At 48.7% G+C, this 20,150-nt stretch overlaps 1 protein-coding gene across 7 annotated transcripts in view, besides 1 other annotated feature; it reads right to left on the bottom strand.

Moving 5' to 3' along the window:
* The window catches only part of SLC24A4 (solute carrier family 24 member 4), a 178,901-nt gene that overhangs the window by 121,114 nt on the left and 37,637 nt on the right, over positions 1-20,150 (bottom strand). The gene's annotated exons all lie outside the window — the stretch shown is intronic.
* Positions 14,048-14,549: an enhancer, noted in NCBI's record as "H3K4me1 hESC enhancer chr14:92832163-92832664 (GRCh37/hg19 assembly coordinates)". NCBI's record gives its function as "activates a minimal SCP1, AML or CMV promoter by ChIP-STARR-seq in naive H9 embryonic stem cells {active_cell/tissue: H9 hESC(naive)}" and the evidence as "EXISTENCE:reporter gene assay evidence [ECO:0000049][PMID:30033119]".

The following is a 20,150-nucleotide window of genomic DNA, read 5'->3' as shown; positions in this document are numbered from 1 at the left end:
CTCCTTCCTAACTGACCAAACCCCAGGGATTATGAGGGATCAGGAAGGAAGGCTGGCCACCTCCTAGGAGACTCAACCTGCTCCTTAGAGCTTAACATTCCCCTCGTGGTTCTCTGTTTAATGAGGACAGAGGGCTCCAAGGGAACGTGGGTGCTCTACCTCTGGCCCTTGGATCTGCTCTCGGTCACTGCCAGCCTGTTCTGCCTTCGGATGCAGAGCACCCCGTTTTTGCTTCGAGCGCCATGTCCTCCTGCCTTCAGTGTCTGTGGCCCTCCCCTATGCCAGGTGCAGCAGGCACAGGCACGCAGGCAGTGAATGAGTGAAACCCTGCCCTGGAGGATTGGCTGTGCTGGTGGGAGGGAGGGGGACACTACCCCAGTACCCCAATGATACCATGTGACACAACGTCAGGGAGTACTGAGTGCCACGAAGACAACACGGCAGGTGAGGGTGGAGAGGGGAGAGGGAGGCCTGGATGACGGAGAGTCTGGGGAAGACTCTTCAGCCCCAGGCGTGGTAGGAAGTATGGGTGTGCTGGCGGGGCAGAAAGGTCAGTGTGCGATGGGGAGGCAGTGGGAGAGCAGGGTGAGCAGGAGGCACGTGAGTTTCAAGCATGACTGTTGGCCCTCGTGGGAACAAGCTCCGAGCTCCATCAGACTGGGCACCACTCAAGATGGCACAAATGGAATCCAGGCCAGTCAGTGTCCCGGAAGTCACCTCTCTCCAGCACTCCCATGCCCTTCAGGCAAGGGCTCACCAGTCCTTGAATGGGGAGGGATAGGAAAGGGGAGACGCCAGAGAGGAGGAGGGGGCAGGGGCGCTTCCTGCCATGCCCCTGGTGCCATGGTTCCCCCCAACAAACTCGGGCTGAAGCCGGGTCCTTCCCCTCCTAGATTATTCCAGCAGCCCCTGCCAGGCCTGTCTCAGACCCACCCCTGCAACCAGGGAGGAGCAGGGATTGGGGCCTTTGAGTTCTGAGCAGAACCACTGAGAATGCCAACATCCCTCTTCAGAGCTTTCTCACCTTGGTGAACTCAGGGGATCCTGTGGATGCCCTGAGAATTTGGGCAGAAAGCACCTTCCTTTCACAGACAGAGAACTGGGGACCTGCCCAATAAACAGAAGATCCAAGACTCAAGATCGATTTCCAGGTCATCCCCCACCTCTCACTAAACCAGAGAGATTTCCTTCATTCCCTTAAAAAGCACACTAGCCAAAGAACTGGGCTTCCAAGACACCTCTCTCGCATTCCAAGGTATCATTTTGCTATCTATCTAGCTAGCTAGCTAGCTATTTATTGATTTTAGAGGCAGGGTCTCCCACTGTTGTCCAGACTGGAGTGCAGTGGTCCTACCACAGCTCATTGCAGCCTTGAACTCCTGGGCTCAAGCGATTCTCCCATCTCAGCCTCCCAAGTAGCTGAGACTACAGGTATGCACCACCACACTCAGCTCATTTTTTACTTTTACTTTTGTTTTTATTTAGAGTCAGGGTCTCACTACGTTGCCCAGGCTGGCCTCAAACTCCTGGCCTCAAGTGATCCTCCTACCTCAGTCTCCTGAGTAGCTAGGACTACAGGTGCGTGCCACCGTGCCTGGCTCATTTTGTTTCACTTTTAATAAAAACATCTGCTTCATTGCTGTTATCATTAACTTTAATACATTGATTGAAAACTTTCATTCAAAAGATATCAGTAAGAGAGTGAAAATGAAATGCACAGTGGATAAGGAGACACTGTCAGTCCACATATCTGACAAAGGACTTAGATACAAATCAATCAGAAAAAGACAATCTAACAGAAAGCTGGACAAAGACTTGGACACATTACGGAGGTGGAGAAGATGTTAAGCAGCCCCAAAACACACAAAGATGCTCAGAGCCATTATTATCCAAGGAAATGCCTATTAAAACCACAAGAGACAACAACAGAAATGTTGGTCAGGATGCAAAGTGATGAGAACCCCATACATTCTGGTGGGAGTGTAAAGTGGTCCACTTTGGAAAACCATTTGGCCCTGTCTATGAAATATGGCAGGCATGTGTCCGCAACCCAGCAATTCTATTCTCATGAACCCAACAAAAATAATGCACATGGCCCTCAGAAGGCACGGACAAGGATGCTCACAGCAGCATTATTCATAATAGCTGCAAACAACCTCAACGTTCAATAGTTGAGCTGACAAGCCAATCACATGTGTATTTGTGCCATGGAATTCTACAGAGCAAAAGAAAAGAGTGAACTATTGCCACCCGCAACAAAATGGATGACTCCCATGATAAGAGAAGGCAGCCGACTGCAAGCAGACCCATTTCCTGAGGTCAGAACCAATCCCGTGCTAGACAAACCCTCCTGCTTGTCCCACAGGCAGCTCAGACTCCAAGCCTCATCTCTCCTCCCACCCCCAGACCTTCATCGTCCCCCCTTTCTGTTAGGTATCAACACCCTGCTTCCCCAAGCTGGTGGCCAGAGTCAGCCCCAGCCCTTCTTCCTCACCTTCATTCAGCAAACCAGTCACCGAGTCCTGCCTGTTTCATCTGCTGCCTCTTCCACAGATCTATCCCTTTCTCCATCCCTGTTGCTTCAGCCATTGGACCCTCATCATCTCACTTTTGCCCAAGGCCTCCTGACAGCCTAGCCCACTGGCACATTCAGATCCGTCTTCCACACAGCAGCCAGCATATCTGATCTAGAATGTACCCTGACCCTGTCGCTCTCCATCTCACCCTCAAGATAAGGCCCAAGACCTTCTGCAAGGCATATGAGGTCCCTCTGAGTGGACCCTCCCTGGCATTGCAGCCACGGCTGTCTCCTCCTGCCTCCTGTTCCTGCTGTTCCATGTTCTTAGAAAACCCTTCCCACCTCTCTCCTACATGGGTACTGCACCTCATCTTCAACACTCAGCTCAGGTGTCATCTCCTTAGTTTGGGCAAACAGCTCTCCCTCCAGCTTTTAGTCTTTGGCATAGTATATTTCATCTACCTGCTCAAGGTCTGCTTCCCTCATGCTCTAGGCACTTTATGAACAAGGACCATGCCACACGGCTCTCAGGCAACAGGAACTGGGTAAATGTGGGTTCATCTAAATAAAACACATCTTCTACCATTTGGTCTTCATAAGGTGGCCTTGACATGTATAATTCTCCCTGTTTAACTGACTGGTAATTAGGGAAACAGGCTCTCCAGTGAGGCAGATCCAAGTTCGAAACCCAGCTCTGCCATGAGGCAGCTGGGGGTCCCTGGAGAGGTTACTCATCCCTCCTGGGTCTCACCTTTCTCATCCATGAGGTGGGGAGACACCCACCAGGCTACTGGGATAACTGGTGAGATGCATATGGTACCGGCAGTGATGAGCCCCTCACGAGGAGCTTCCAGGGCAACAGGTTCACTCAGACGAGTGTTCCCAGCCTCAGCACTGCTGACATTTTGGGCCAGATAGTTCTTGGTCCTGGGGTGTGGCCTGTGCATTGTGGGATGTTTAAAAGACTCCTTGGCCTCTACCCACTAGATACTCTACCCACTAGCAACCCCCCTGCCTTGCCCCAGGTTGTGACAACCAAAAATGTCTCCAGACATTGCCAATTGTTCTCAGTGAGGTGACTGAGAACCAATCACTGCCTTGGAGTTTGATTCCAGGAACCTAAAAACCCCAGGCACCTGAGCTAAACGAGGTTTAAGCAGCTGACCTTGGAGCTGGGAGGATAATCCCTGCATGGAAAAACCTGTCTGCCCCAGCTGGGCTCAGAGCACACTTGCCGCCTCTCAGCAGGGGCTGGACAGGTATGGGCCAGCCAGTCAGCTGGTGAAGACCCTCAGGGGCCCTGGCCAGCCCCAGCCCAGACTTCTGTATGCAAAATACCATGGACGGATCACAGAGGAAAGAAAAGCCAGTCGTCTCCCACGCTGCCCCCAGCTGCCCCGACGTGGCCTGGGAACATGCGTGGGCTTGGAGTACATTCCTGTCCATTAGCTCCTGCACCCATGTGACCAAGGGGGCACCAGGCAGGGGCTCCACTCTTCCTTTTGCAGAAGAGGCTACTAGAGTTGACCCAGGCTGACAGCCTGAATCCATTCATGGCTGACCTTAAGAGCTTTGTCTCCTCACCAACCCTGTGAGGTAGGTTCTATCGGCAGCTCCATTTGAGAGGCCAAGTAACTTGCCCAGCATCACAAAGCTTGCCAGGATTTGAACCCTCGTCTGCCTTGCTCCAGAGCTCATTCTGCCACTGCACCATATGGCCGTTGGAACACGCACTTGCAGATCCTCCCCAACTCATTTATTTGGCCTCACAGCAAACAGAAGAAATAGTAAGTGTGTTATGAGATTCCAAATGGTCTCTCTTTTTGATTGAGGTGAAATTTACATAACATGAAATTAGTCATTTTATAGTGTCCAATTCAGTAGCATTTTGTACAGTCACAATGTCATGCAACCAGCAGCACCATTTTTTTTTAAGCACACACCACCTTTGGGAAGAACCATCTTGTTGCAAATATTTTCCTCATCACAAAATAAAACTCTGTATCCATTAACCAGTTACTCCCCAACTATAGCCCTGCACCCCTCCCCCACAGCCCTTGACAACCACCAATCTGCTTTCTGTCAGCGTGGATTTGCCTATTCTGGGCATTTCATAGAAATTAAATCATACGGTATGCGGCCTTTGTCCTCTGGCTTCTTTCACTTAGCGTAATGTGTTCCAAGTTCATCCATGTTGTGGCATGTAGCAGTACTTCCTTCCTTTTAAGGCTGAATAATATTCCATTATATGGACATAGCACATTTTATTTATCCATTCATCAGCTGATAGACATTTGGACATTGTTTCTACCTTTTGGTTTTAGGAATAATCCTGCAATGAATATTTGTTTACAAGTTTTTGTTTAAGCACCTGTTTTCAATTCTTTGTGGTAGATACTTATGAGTGGAATTGCTGGGTCATATGGTAATTCCATGTTTAGCTTATTAAGGAACCTCCAAACTGTTCTCCACAGGAGCGCCATTTTACATTCTCAACAGCACTGTCCGAGGGTCTTAATTTCTCCACATCCTTCCCAACACTTGTTATTTTCCTTTGTTGTTGTTGCTGTTTTTTAAGTCAAGGCCATTCTAGTGGATATGAATGGTATCTTCCAAACTGTCTCTTAATAAAACACTCAATGAACTTCATTCTAAGAGGTCCTTAGCTTACTCATGGGAGTAAAGGGTTGAACTATACTTCATCCTAGCAGGCTCAATCCCCAGAGAACTGGGTAAAAAGTTGGAACTGTTTGAGGGGAATCTAGTCTTTGGTTTAATTTATCATGTTTCTCTGGTCTTGCTATCAGAAGTTCCGGAGTGAAGACAGAGGGCATAGCCTCGTTTCTAACCAGATCTAGGTTATTGTTATAATTTTGCAGGCCGCCAGGCAATGAAAAAATGGCCTCTTTAATCTGTTGACATTTTGTTACCCAGAGGACTCAAAAACACATATGCATTTCAAAATTTAATAAAACCAAAAGATAGGAGTAAATGTTTAAAGAGAATTAAAGATCTATTAACAAAAATAGGTCAAGTGAGCAAATTGCAAAATATTGCACCCAACATTTAAAGGTCCCCTAACTTTATAGTTCTGTAATAGGATGCTGAAACATTCTATTTTTTAAGCCTTAGTATACTAAGGGCACAAATATAAAATTCAGACTCCGATCTCCAATGCGGAGCATCATGAGAAAATGCAGCAAGAACTGGTGGTGCTGAGAGTTAAGGAAGGGAACGTGGAGTGGGAGTGGTTGCAAGAGACTTTTCTGGAATCCCTGAGACCTCTGCAAATCGTGGAGGAGGTGCTCAGCCCCCGTCTGACAGGCACCCAGCTCTGGGAGTAACATGGACATGGAAGAGCAACCTCAGAGAAGCTTCCATTTACAATCAGCTTTGTGACTTTACTCCGCCTTCCAAGAGACTGACTGTTCGCATACCATTGACCAGAGAGCTGGGTCCTTCAAGATGACGTTGGATTGGCTCTGGTCTTGTCCCTCACTGCCTGGAGGACCTAGGGACAAGTCGCTTCTTGGTCTGAGCCTTGGTCTTCTCGAATGAGTGGGAACCACACCACCTCTTCTGGCTGATGGAGAAAGCCACCATGGGGGCCTACCTCAGGAACGGTGAGGTAACAGTCACAAAAATCATGCAGTGCCAAAATCATTCCTAATGGTCCCCAGAACCATGCTTCGATCTCTAGGACCTGGACACAAAGAAGCACAAAAGCAAAGAACTTTCTGGGGTTCTCTGCATTTTGGCTGGGGCCTCCCTTGCCAAGGTAAACGGGTGCAATAATAGTATGCAATATGGTGGTTATATCATTTGAAAAAGAGTCTCTTAGAGATATGCACTGACTGATATATTTATGAATAAAATATGATATATGATATTTGCTTCAAAATAATAATATGAGAAGGGGGTGAGTAGATGGGGCATTGATAAAAGAGGACTGGCCACAAGTTGACAATTGTCAAAACTGGGTGATTGCTAGACTGTGGGGAGGGGCATTACATTATTACCTCTAATTTTATACTTGTTTGGAATTATCCATAATAAAATGTGGTTTTTCAACAAACAGTAAGAAAAGGCTAAAATGATTAAGCACACACACAACTAAGTGAAGAGTGTTCTTTCTCATTAGAAAAGTCTGATGTGCGGTCGTCGAAACCCACAGGGTTCACCGTCCCCTGTCCTCAGAGTCCACTGGGTATGGAGACAGATCATTTCCAAAACTTTCCCCTCAGTCCTGAGTTGTTCGGATGTGTAAAAGAAAGGAATGTCATTATCTCAGAGTCTAAAAATGCTCACACTCAGAGGACATTTCATAAAATTCTTCTGGGTGAATGAGGCACAGTAGGGGCCGTAGCCCATCACAAGGAGGGGGTCAGACACTGGCTGGACCCTGATGCCTTAGGTGCCTGTCTCAGCTCACTCTAACTTGGGCTGGACCTGGCCAAAGCTATTCTCCTTCCGGGGCCTCCATTTTTCTTAGAAATGACAGCAGCTGGCCAGGCGTGGTGGCTCACGCCTGTAATCCCAGCAGTTTGGGAGGCTGAGGCGGGTGGATCACTTGAGGCCAGGAGTTCGAGACCAGCCTGGCCAACATGGTGAAACCCCGTTTCTACTAAATATATATATGTGTGTGTGTGTGTGTGCGTGTGTGTGTGTGTGTGTGTGTATAAATTAGCTGGGCATGGTGGTGGGCACCTGTAATCCCAGCTACTCTGGAGGCTGAGGCAGGAATTGCTTGACCCAGGAGGTGGAGGTTGCAGTGAGCCAAGATCGCATCACTGCACTCTAGCCTGGGCAACAGAGCAAGACTCCATCTCGAAAGAAAGAAAGAAAGAAAGAAGAGAGAGAGAGGGAGAGGGAGGGGGGGAGAGAGAGAGAGGGAGAGAGAGAGAGAGAGAAAAAGAAAGAAAGAGAAAGAAAGGAAGGAAGGAAGGAAGGAAGGAAGGAAGGAAGGAAGGAAGGAAGGAAGGGACAGTGACCCTTTCTGTTCTAGAGGCCTAGCAAGGTGCAAATGTAATGTGATGTACAATGTCCTACCCACGTCTTCAAAACCTGGAGGTCAACATCATCTCCACTTGACACATGAGGGACAAGTTCAGCAAGGCTGAGGGGCTTGATGAAGGCCCAGGGGAGAGAGCTGAGGGGCCAAACTCGAGCTAGATCCTCCGATTCTGGAAACGCAGGCACATTTTGCTAGAAAACATGGACCTGGATTATGTGATGCTGTTCCATCCCAGCTCTGCAACCCATACTCCCTGAGAGAGTCAGGTATGTGCTCAGGCCCTAACACACCAGTACATACAGGATAATTGATGGGAGAAGTCCCTACCCATTCTCTGCCTGCCTCTCAGACACCCCAGGGGCTGAGCACACACCCACCACACCCAGCCCAGGGACCACTCATGCATGCTCCTCTCTCCTGGGTCAGGCTCAGGCCACCAGCTGCAAATGTCTGTGGGCAGCAGCTGGTCAACATCAGAGCTGGCCACGCCATGGACTCCCACACCCTCCTGTTCCCATTTATTCAGTATGGGACAGGGAGGTGGCGTGGAAGATGAGTCTGTCTGGTGAGACTCAAGTGCTCTGAGACCCAGGTCCCAGGGGCTGGGAGAAAACCTAAACACATTGGAACCCCCAACTCTGACCTCAGTCTGGTTCATGCCTCCCTGCATTTGAGCAGGCTGGCTCCTCTCCCAACAACCCCTTCAAAATGCAGGCCAGAGATCCAAGAGTTTTTCGTTGCTGCAGCTGGCTGGAATCACATCATCACCTGTGTTTCCCTCTATCCCACATCCATACTAGGTCAGGAGTCCCCCAAGGGGAGGAACCAGAGCCCAGCACAGGGTGGTGGTCAGTAAGTGTCTGATGAATGGCACAGACAAGAGAGAGGCCATTGGGAGAGAAGATGGGAGGCTGCACCCAGGCTCCCAGCCATGGCCCCTGCCTTGGTGCTTGAGAAAGGGCCAGCACTGTCATAGAAGCTTAGCCCCAAGGCCACCCATGGAACAGACCTAATGAGTGTTTGCTATGCTCAAAATGTCTTTATTCTGCCATCATACTGAAGTGGTTTCATTGTCTGGGGTGACATTTAAGGTTCTTTGTCTCATGGCCATGGAGATCAAGGATGTGGACACACAACGGGTGAGGTTAGAGTAGAAGTTTAATAGGTGAAAGAAAAGAAACAGTTCTGTGTTGTAGAGAGGGGTCCCGAATGGGGTGGCAAAATGTAGCAAAATGTAAGGGTTTTTATAAATGAGTTAGTGGAGAGGGGATATCTTATTTATATACAGTGTGAAAAACTGATTAGGACCAGGTGTGCCATCTGTATAGAGTGGAATCTCTGGCCATCTATACTCCACTTTTTTATTATGTAGGTGGGTTTTAGCCTGAGTTATTTTATGTTGTTTATCTCTCTCCTGCCATGTATGTGTTGAAAAGGGGAGGGGGAGTTTCCACAATGGACGTGTCTGGTCCCAGGTATCTTTTTGTAGTTGTAGGTATCCCCACTGCTCTGTGTATTTAGTTTCTTTATTTTACTGTGTGTATAAAAGGAAAGGGATGTGTTTATTAAGGCCCACTGTTTTTATTGGGACCCACCGTATGTATGTGAAATTTGGTTATCCAGGAAGCTCTCTTTCTGTGTCGGAGCCGTTTATGTTTACAGTCCAATTTTTTTAGGCTGTTCTTTTTCAGAAGAGAAGTGATTTCTTTGAGTTGCTTGTGATCAGAAAGGAAGTAATTTCTCGAGCTGCTTTTTATTAGAAGGAAAGTTTTGCCGGGAACTTTTTGTCCTTACTATCTGTCTAAATAATTTCTTTCTATCTCTTGTATCAATACTTGATTGGAGGTTCAGCTGGACAGGGAATTCCAGGCTGGAACACCTAATTTTGAGGAATTCCAGGGAGTCACCACAGCCTCTTAGCATCCAGCACTGCTGCTGAGAAGTCTGGTGCCGCTCCGGTTCTAGATCCTTTGTATGTGACCTCTTTCTACCCACTCAGAAAACTTCTAGACACTTTTTTAAACATTGGGGAAACTCTCACAAGAGGCCTTAATGAGGCCTATTTTCATCCAATTTGCTGAGGACTTAATGGGCTTGTCACTTGGAAAGCCAGTTCTAAGAAGTGTTCTTGAATTTTTTTTATGACTGCCCCCTCTAGTTTTTCCTGTCTTCTCTTTCTAGAATATTCTTATTATGCTTATTTTGAACCTTCCTATCTCACCCTCGAATTTTCTCATCCTTTCTCTCCTTCTTTTGTTTTAATAAAAGCATGTTTAATTTATATACATATTTTTAAATAATGTTTCTCAAATGAGTAAATGAATGAGTGAGTGAATAAATGCAGTTAGTTGACAAGTACATGAACACCATTCACAGAAAGCAGGTATCTCCCAAGAGTCAGCGAAATGCAATAATAATAATAATAGCAATGCCTTTTACATCTGTTTGGGAATCAGAACAGAAATTATGATCTCCATCTTCCCAACAAAGAAAGTGAAATCCACAGAGGCCAGACTCGAAAGTCACACAGTTCATGTGTGGCAGGTTCAGGCATCTCCTGTTCCTAAATCTTTGTCTTTTTGCTCTACGTTCTGGAAGACTTTCTCTATTTTATCTCAATCCTTTTTTGGGTTCTTCAACTGTGTTTAAATTCTATGGGCTCTCTTTTGCAATTTTTTAAAAGCTATCTCTTACCAGAAGGATACAATTTTTTAGTATCAACTTATTTTGAGACTTCTCAATCCTAAAGAAGACTTTAAAGAATACAATGAATACCCTTTGCCTAGGCTCATCAATTAATACTTACCATAGTTACTTTCTCTATATTACACATTTCTTTTGTGAAACCATTTTGAAAGTAAATTGCTGACATTATGTAATTCAACCCTAAATCCATCAGTATCTTTTCCTCCTTAGGACAAGAATATTCTCCTCTGTACCAATGAGTCAACCAAGGACAAATGTGCAACCCCTTCTCCCAAAGGAGACATTTGACAATGTGTGGAGATATTTTTACTCGAGACTTCGGGGTGAGTGGGTGAGTATGCTATTGGCATCTAGCAGGTAGGAGCCAGGGATACTGCTAAAAATCCTATAATGTACAGGACAGCCCCCACCATGAAGAATGACCCAGCCTAAACTGTCAGTGGCGCCCAAGTCAAGAAACTGTGCTTGTACCTTATAGTCACACTATTATGACTGTCGACGAATTTATTCTTGATTCAACATTATCTAACGTACAGCACATATTAAGATTTCTCCAATTATTCCAAAAATACGTTTTACAAACACATTATTTTTTCCGGTTCTGGATCTAACCATTACATTTGGTGGTCCTGTCTCCACAGTCTCCTTTCTTCTAGAGTCGATCCAACCTTTTTCTTCTTCTCATTGATATCTTTGAAGTCTCCAGGCCAGTTTCTTGTAGATCGCCCCACATATGGATTCATCTGCTGATGTCCTCATGGTTACATCCATACTGAACACCTTGGCATGAATACTACATAAATAATGCAAATTCTACTTTCATGCTGGGAATCATGACTGCCCCCTACATTTCACCTCCCTCCCTGTACAGTCAGTTGCCTCCCAGTTGCTTTCCTTCAGATTGTCTTGTACTCACCAAGTCAGACCTTTCCTGGGACGTCTGCCTGTCTGCCTGGGGAGTTTTGACCACTTGGTTTCAAATAAGAGGCAGGAAGAGCTGCCTGGGCACTGTGGGCATGTGGGTGGGCCTAGGGCTGACGGCCTCATTGTGGGGTGATCAGGCTGTTTCAGGGGGCACCTCTGGAGGCAGGGTCTTTAGAGTCCTCCCTCAGGATGATGGGGCTCCCTAGAGAAGAACATTCTGGTCTCCTTGTATATGGGTCCAGTACTGGCTGCCAGCTCTTCTGCCTTAGGAGTGGGTAGGGAGCTGAGCAGGGGGAGGGAGCTGGAATGGGTGCACTTGCCGTTAATCCCCTCTTCCACAGACCCTCAGTTTCCTTCTCTCCAGGGTAAACCCTCTTTTTCTGCCAAAGTTGGGTGAGGCAGGGTATTCTGGTTGTGCTGCCTAGACGAGGGGAAGGAGACCTCAACCTCGACGTTCTACCAGCCCTCCTGTTTTTGGCTCCCCCTGCCCCACCCTCAGAGCCCCTGCAGCAGCTGTCTCCGGGTGACTTACTGCCCATACTTCTGCTTTCCAGCTTCCAAAATTCTTGATATTTTATCTTCCTTGTCTTTCTGGATTTTAGCTTTCCAAAAAAATCCTTTCACTGTTCCTGTAATGGGCTTCTGAGAAGGAATGAAGATGAGGGTGAATTTCAATCCATTACCTTCAGCAGTGAGCCTGTGTTCTTCGATGTTTAAATAACAGCTAGGGCCCCAATCCCATTTACTATAGGAAATTCAGAGGGAACCCTCCTTCCAGATGTCTCCAAAGACTGATAGGAAAAAAAAAATTATCCAAATCTCCTAAATGAGGCAGATGGATGTCTCCTATCCTTTCAACGTCATACTGGAGCCCCCGTCTTATAAACCCAGTGAAGGGTCATGAAGCTTTCCTGGGAACGTAGCTGTGATGATTTTTTCCTGATAGTGACTCAGACTGTGTAAATTCAGGCATTAACTTGTTGGAAATTAATGAATTGCCCATTGTTTCTGTCTGGAGGGATAAAAGATAATCCCAAAGGTTATGGTTTCATTGCCCTAGGATGTGAGGATCTTAGCGATTTTGTATCAAACGTAGGAATCTCACTCCAACATTTTTTCACTAATAAGATATGTCTGCTTCCCGTATCTTTCCTAGAACCAGCTTTGTCATCCTGCTGCTTCCCTCATTAATGAGTTAAATAAGCCTTTGACACATGCTCACTATTTGTATAAGAATTGTGTTTAACTTTTTAAAAAATATGCTTTGACAATTCTCCAAGTGCTTCTGTTTCTCCACGTTGCCTCTCTTGAATGCTCATTCTCCACTCTGCAACTCACAGGCAGCAAATACTGGCTTCTCCCTTTCTCTGCTATGCCCTCCATGCTGTGATGTCGCCTCCTCTGTTTTTCATCCCTCCAAAGCACTCCAACCCACAAAGCCCCTCACGGGCAGACAGTGACTGAGGGTTTGGAGTCGTTACGGCATATGGGCACCACCTGAATCCAGACATCAACCAGCCATGCTGAGCCACCCCGATCCTTTCCTGTAGGAAGGGTAGCCTCTCTCCTTGAGAGGCTTGCTACTCTCTTTTTCCAGCTCTGTTTCTTGTATGGAGGGCCAACTCCTCCCTCTTGATACCCCTTCACTTCTCAGGCAGAGCATGTCAGCTCACGACCTCAAATCTCATCTTCCCAGGTAGGCCGGAGACCAACCTTGGGATAAACAAAACTTGACTCCATGGCTCTGCCAACTGTGTGGGATAACATATGTGAGCTGGAACAAGCTCTGCAGCTTACTAACCAGGCAACCCTGGCCTCCCTCTGCCTTGGTTTGCTTGTCATGTCATTTCATATCGGTCAACTTAGCATGAGTTAAGTGAGTTAATACACAGTTATACACACAGTTAGGATAGAAGCTGGCACCCAGTGCTCAAGAACTACTGGATGCATAAGCCCCGGTCTCTAGCCTCGAACAGCGCAGAGCTCAGGCCGGCATGTTGGACACACTCTGGTTTTAGGTGATCAATATTAAAGGACATTTCCCAGCCTCTGAACGGGCAAGGCACTTTTTCCTGTCTGCCTGCTGCACCAGAAGGTGGTAAAGTGATGAATGAGGACTCCAAGAATTGCTGGATGGTACCCGGGGTGTCCACCTGCTCCCTCACTCCGCTTCTGGAACGTCCCACCCCAAAGCTGTGCAGAAAGCACGCTCCTCAACCTGAGCCAGGAGGGCCAGGAAGGCACTGACCCCAGAACAAGACACCCCGTTCTAGTCCTGGCACGCCCTTACTAGTTGTATGACCTTGGGCAAGTCACTCTAGCTCTCTGAGCCATGAGCTGAAAAGAAATGGACGTAATCACCCCTTCCCCGCCTATTCCAGGGTTGTTTTAAAAATCTAAAAAGAAAACACTTGCGAAAACCCACAGAAAAACATGAAGTGAGAATTATCCCCATGCTCCTCATTATCCAGCCGACAGAAGGTTAGGCCATATCGGTGTGGATTTTGTCATCCAAGCAATTCCTGAAGACATTCCAAAGTGGTTCTGGCCCCATTGTTTTATTTCTGGGCTCCAAACCTCAGCGGAGGATATTCAAAGCGAAGGGTATTATTTCAGGGCAGGGAGATTCCACCCTCAGCAATGAACTGGCAGGGTAGCCCTGTGCATGACACTCCAGTAAAACCTGACACCAATCAATATCTTCTCTTCTGCTGCAGGACGCAAGGTCATCCCTGTTTCCAACAACCAGTCAGCCACCTGCAAACCCGCCTGGCTGAACGAGGCTACCGTGACCTTGTCCCTCTGGCCGGGGACCAGAGCTGTTTATCCCAAGCATCTGGCTGTCACATTCCTCTGCCCGAGGGGATGGACTCCAACCCCGTCACCTCAGGACCATCTGCCCACCAGAGGGGTCTTGGTACACCAGCAGGACCACGCCCCCTGAAAACGCTGCCTCACCATTTTCCCAGAGGCTTGGCCTTTGGTTCGGGTGCTCCCAGGGGAAGGGCCAGGGTGTCCAGCACCCAGGCAGCACATCCAGCAGGAAAAGCAGCATCCCTTCCCACTCCAGCCAGGCTTTGTCACAATGACTTGGCTTCCCGGCACCACAATTTTCTCATCTGAAAAATGGAAATATAATGGTGCCTATGCCACAAAAGGCTGTGCAGATTAACCCAGTTTACACGCATGAAGGATTTGTAACCGTGCCTGCCACATGGTAAGCTCTCAACTCTAAGATATTGCTCTCATCACCTGGAATATGGCAGATGCTTAGTACACGCAGCATGGAGTGGTGTTTGAAGGCGGGCTCTGGGGCCAGACAGCCTAGTTCGAATCTTGCCTCTGCTACTTACACCATGCGACCTTGGGCAACTACATTACTCTCTCACTCTCTGCCTCAGTCTTCTCAAGTCTTGTAAGAATTCATAGTTAGCATACAGGAAATTCCAAGAACAGCAGCCGACACACACAGTAGGTCAAAAATGAACATAAGTGGCCAATATAGTCACCTGCTTGGGGGCCTCAGTGTCCCAGCACACACACCCCAAGTGACTCGCAGGCCCTGGGGAAAAGCCTGGCTGGTTGTCACCAACATGTCACACTGTAAGATAAGCCACCATGGGTCCCCACAGAGGGGAAGGGTCTGAGGGAAGGCGGCACAGACCAGCACCCGGGGCTCCTCCTGGTCTTCCTTGTAAATACAAGGGCTCAGGCAGCAGAGACCTTGAGGTCGGTCCCCGGGGATTGGGGTGTCCACCTAAGCCCTCCTGGGCTGGCCCCACCAGATATAAAGGCCTGTATGTGACCCAAAGGGCCCATCCAGAAGGCTCTGCTCTAAAACAAGGACCAGGACCATGGCAAGGCTTGGAATGGCCGTGTTTTAAGAGCACCAGCTGCTCTGCAGACCCAGTCTCACCAATGCTCCAATCGCCTGGTGAGGTGAATTCAGGTTTAACTCAAACCCTTCCCCAGTGAATGCCAGTGTGTGCCAGGCAATATAAGCCAACGACGGCACACAGTCCTTGCCCTCCGGGCGCTCTGGAGACAGGCCTGAGGAAGCCGGGCAGTGGGAGCTGGGCAGACTTTAAGGATGGCGGTGCCAGTGGCCTGAATGTGCCAAGGGAGGAGAGCCCGCTTCAGGCCAGGGGTAGCCAGGAGGGCTTCAAGGGTGGAGGGCACCACATAAGTTCATCTGGAAGGATAGGGAGGGAGAAGTCCTGGGCAGTGGAAAGGGCAGGGGCAAGGCAGGAGGAAGGGGCTCTCACGGCACCTTTGGGACCACAAGCAGGTTGCTGGGGTGCAGGGAGGAGGGCAAGTGACGAGCTTCCTTTAGCAAACACTAATGAGGCACCCAGTCTGTGCCAGACATGCTTGAGATTCCGTTGGCTATGATGGAGCAGGAGCCACCTGCCTTGGTCACCCAATCAGTTTGTCATCCAGAAGTGACTGATAGAGAGGCTCTGAGATCCTCTGGGTGATCAGAGAGGTGAGGCCTGAAGGAAGAAGAGGGGCCAGCCATGCACAGATGAGGGATGAGTGCAGCAGGCAGAGGGACAGAGGCTGTGCCTCCCTCCCACCCACCACGGGGCTCTCAGGTTGAAGGAAAGGCCATTTTCCACTGGGCTGTGTGTTCCAAAGTCACCCCTGGTCCCCACAGTCACCATCCTCCTGTCTCCTCCCTCTGCCCTGCATAGCTGCTGCTGACTGTGAATACACCTGTTTCATCTGGTGTGTTTATGAGTAACTATCTGTACCTTCTCTGCCTCTTCCTTTTCATGGCCCTCAAGGACAGTCATCCCACCTCCCTTCCCTCTGTGGCTTTCAGCTGCCCTGCTTCCTCCTGTCTTTCCCACCCTGCTCTGCCCCCAGGAGTCTAGCAGAGAGGATGGGGGTCACCCAAAGAGGTAGCCATGATCCCATTCGAACCATTCTATAAAGGTTTGCAACCATCCCATGCCAGCTACTGGCTGGGTGGTGAGCTGAGGCACTCACAGTGTGTCTGGAAAGACAGCTAATTATGATAAGTTAATTATACAACACACTAATAATGATAATCTAATTATGTCACGAAAGCAGTAGTAGAAAAACAGAATAACTAACTGCCTGAGAGTGGGGGGAATGCTTCTGGTGGGGAGCTGCCATGTACCCTGCGAGCAGAAGAAGGAGCAAGAGTCACCTACAGAGGATACCAGGACAGACGAGATGGCCAATCCTGCAAGCATCTGGAGGTGCCACAGTCAGGAGGCATTGTGTGGGTCGGCGTGGCCGGGACGTCCGAGGGCAGAGTGATGGGGGCCAGGCAGCAGGGACCAGGCGAGGGGCAGTACAGATGCCAGGCTGAGATTGTTTTCTTTTTCTTTTCTTTTCTTTTTTTTTTTAGACGGAGTCTCACTCTGTCACCAGGCTGGAGTACAGTGGCGCGATCTCAGCTCACTGCAACCTGCACCTCCCGGGTTCAAGTGATTCTCCTGCCTCAGCCTCCCAAGTAGCTGAGACCACAGATGCGTGCCACCATGCCCCACTAATTTTTGTATTTTTAGTAGAGACAAGGTTTCACCATGTTGGCCAGGATGGTCTTGATCTCTTGACCTTGGGATCTGCCTGCCTCAGCCTCCCAAAATGCTGGGATTACAGGCGTGAGCCTGTAAAAGGAGGGACGTGGAAAGCAAGACCTTTCAGAAGGTCAATCTGGAGGCTACATGCAACGCTTGGCAAATCCCTGGCTGCTGTTCACCTGGACTGTTAACATGGTGTGAAATCGTCAAGTGCCTTAAAGGTCTGAGGCTTGCCAGGCAAGGAGCAGCCATTGGCCATCTGCTGGTAGCCAGTGGACCATGGCACACAGGCTGGCCTGGGACGGCATGGGGGTGAATTCACTTCTGGCTGCAGGTGGGTACCCCGCACAGTATTAGCCCCAACTGTACCCCGATTCCTTGTCCAGCCCCAAGCTGACCTGGTTGGTCTTCATGTCCTAAAAGTGTAACCTCTGTGACTTGGTGCAAAAGGCTGGTCCTCGAGGCACGGGCTGGAAGCAAGCAGTCGGTCTGAGTCATGCTCTCCATGTCACAGTGTGGCACCCACCCAAGAGGGAAGCAGTCAAATGACTGGAAAGTGTAAGGAATTTTCCCTTCCTCTTGGTCATTAGTTTTTAAAACCCACTGGCGTGCTCCAAGCTTCATTAACTAGAGCTTGGCACAAGCAGGGAGGAGGCAAGCTGAGAGAAGTCGGGCAGGCTGAGCGCCTCGTCTTCTCGGGTGCTCCCTGCAGCATGCCACCTGCCGGCATGGCGTCTGCATCCAGCAGGCATCCAGCACTGGCTGACTGAGTTTGAAGAGCATGCCTGATCCCGCCCGGAGCTGCCGCCTCTCTCTGCGCATTCATTCTGCAAAACTTTTTGAGCAAAATGTGTTGACCCAGCACAAGCCCAGGCACCAGAAAAGCACTGTAGACATTCAGAGAGGAGGAGCGCATGGTGACACAGGAGACTTGGGACGCAGCACACTGGTGCCGCCTCGGGGGGATCACTGTGACGGGGTGAGTGGACTTCAGAAAACACATCCCTTGTTTTTAGCCAAAATGTCCATCCCCCGGCAGCTCCTAAGCTAGAAGCCATCTCTTCCATGACCCTCCAAATCCCTTCTATGGATGCCCATCTGTGTCAGCTGCCAAGCAGACATATTAGCTCAATGGCTTGATATGAATCTCAGGGTTCAGTTCAACCCACACCTGCCCAACCGGTCCATCTACCCAGCTCCCAGCCCACTGGAGAGTGGCAAGAGGTGAACATTGGGGGGACTGACAGGAGAGGAACTGGAGAGATGGGAAGGGCGGGGTGAGAGAGGGAGCAGCACAGAGGTTAGAGCAACAAGAAGGGGCCAGAAGGCTGCAGGTGCCAAGGTTCCTCCATTCAGGCATCTTGGAAATGGAGCTCCGAGGCTCTCCAGAGACCCCAAAGAGCCGGGGAGGAAAAGGCTGGACAGGGACAGGGACCTGAGAGGCCCCTGAGGTCAGCAAGGATTCAGGCCGGGGTTAGACAGAGAAGCTGGGGTCCGGGGTTTGCATTTTAGTGCAGCCAAGCACGAAAGGAAAATTCCAGTACTCATCCCCAAGACGCTCAGTCATGGGACCGCACCTATTCTGACCTCCCTGTGCTCCAGACCACCATCAGCGTTCATTATTTCAACAAATACTTCTCAAGCACCACCTGGGAGCCAGGAATCACTCAAGGGTCCTCCTCTGGGCACCAGAATAGGGTGTTTCCCAAGGTGCTGTCTTTGCCTCCCCTTTGAGATGCCATATCCAGGTTCCGTTCCTCTGATGTCCTCAGCTCCATTTCCAACCACCAGCTGGACACATGTTCCTCTCTGGAGGATTCATGGAGACCTCAAAATCAACACCATTCAAGCCAAGTGCATCATCGGACCCCACACCAGCGCCCACCATCCTGCCCCACCCAAACACCCCACTCAAAGTCGAGACATCGCACCTCTCTGTTCCCGACACTCTGTAATTATCACCCTGCTTTGTTTGTCCCACCAAACAGTACGCTTGTGCACTATTTCTCTCCTGTAACACCACGAGGGCAAGGACTCTGTTTTACGTTATTGCTGTCTCCAGCATCTAGCAAAAGTCAAATTTTAATGTGTTGGTGGAACAAATCTAGTCAGGCTGTCCTTGCCCTAAATCTCTTCATTTTTTTTTTTCCTTTCCATTTCAAACTTCAGTTGCTTTATTTTCACAAGGTGACTTAGGTGGCAACCAGAAATTCATGTCACTGAGACCTTATGGTTCAAAGTAGTTCATCAAGCTGCCCCCTCCTTTGCACTTTCCCAAGCCCCTCCCTTCCCAACCTTGCTTCTCTACCCCCAGAACACTTTCCAAGGAGAATACCTGAGTCCAAGATTATTCAAAAAAAAAAAAAATAGTTGTTAGCTAGGACAGGGAACATTTTTGCATTTTCAAATGCTATCTTCAGCAAAAAAAAAAAAGTTCTGTTACATAATCGGTCAACATCCTCGAGATGAGAAACATGTGGGGAATGATGCCAACTGCAGGAAAGCCTTCTGCAATGCTCCACAACCATGGGCACAGTTGGCAGAGTTTAGCCCTGAAGATCCTCCTGTTGTCTACCTGAAAGCAGAGGCTCCGGGTGCTCGCTGAGAGGATGGCAACACCCTCTCCTTTTTAAAGATTAAACTGTTCCCTTTCATTTCAAACGTGCATTTAAAAGGCTTGACTGCTTATTCTAATTACTTCTGCACATGGAGTGTCTTGTCCTCTGAAATGCAAGGATAAACGCTGTGCAGCCAAATTAGGCATTCAAGATTTCGGTTTCGTAGAAACCCTGAGAGGAGCCTCCGTGGTAACGTGGCTGTGTGGTGGGTAGAAAGGGAGACAGCAGATCCAGGGACCGAGTTTGTCGCTTACTAGCTGGGCCAACCTGGCAAATGACTCCAACCAGATGGAGGATGTGCAATGCGTCATTAAGCCTCTCTTCTTTGTGCAATTAAGAGGGAATGTAAATTGATACAAATGTTTGGAAAACTGATTGGCAGTATGATCGGGCAATTCTATTTCTAGGTATCACCCAACACAAATGGACGCATGTATACAGGCAACATGTACACAGGATGTTTGTAAGAGCATTATTGGTATCAGCCCCAGAGAGGACATAAACCAAATATCTAACTGCAAATGGATAAATAGTACAGTATCCCACTGTATGAAATAATCACAGTGAATATGAACTATAGCTACAATGAAAACTGGACAAAACTAATAGTGCTGAGTAGAGAAAACACACAGGGCTAGGCACAGTGGCACATGCCTGTAATCCCAGCACTTTGGGAGGCTGAGGAGGGAGGATTGCTTGAGCCTAGGAGTTGGAGGCCACAATGAGCTACGATGGTGCACTGTACTTCAGCCTGGGTGACAGAATGAGACCCTGTCCCTAAAATAATAATGATTTTAAAAACTAAAACACAGGCT

This window comes from Homo sapiens, chromosome 14, assembly GCF_000001405.40.
Source record: "Homo sapiens chromosome 14, GRCh38.p14 Primary Assembly".
Classification (NCBI taxonomy): Eukaryota; Metazoa; Chordata; class Mammalia; order Primates; family Hominidae; genus Homo; species Homo sapiens.
Note: the sequence above shows the minus strand (reverse complement) of the source record. Positions and strands in the feature narration are given on the sequence as shown.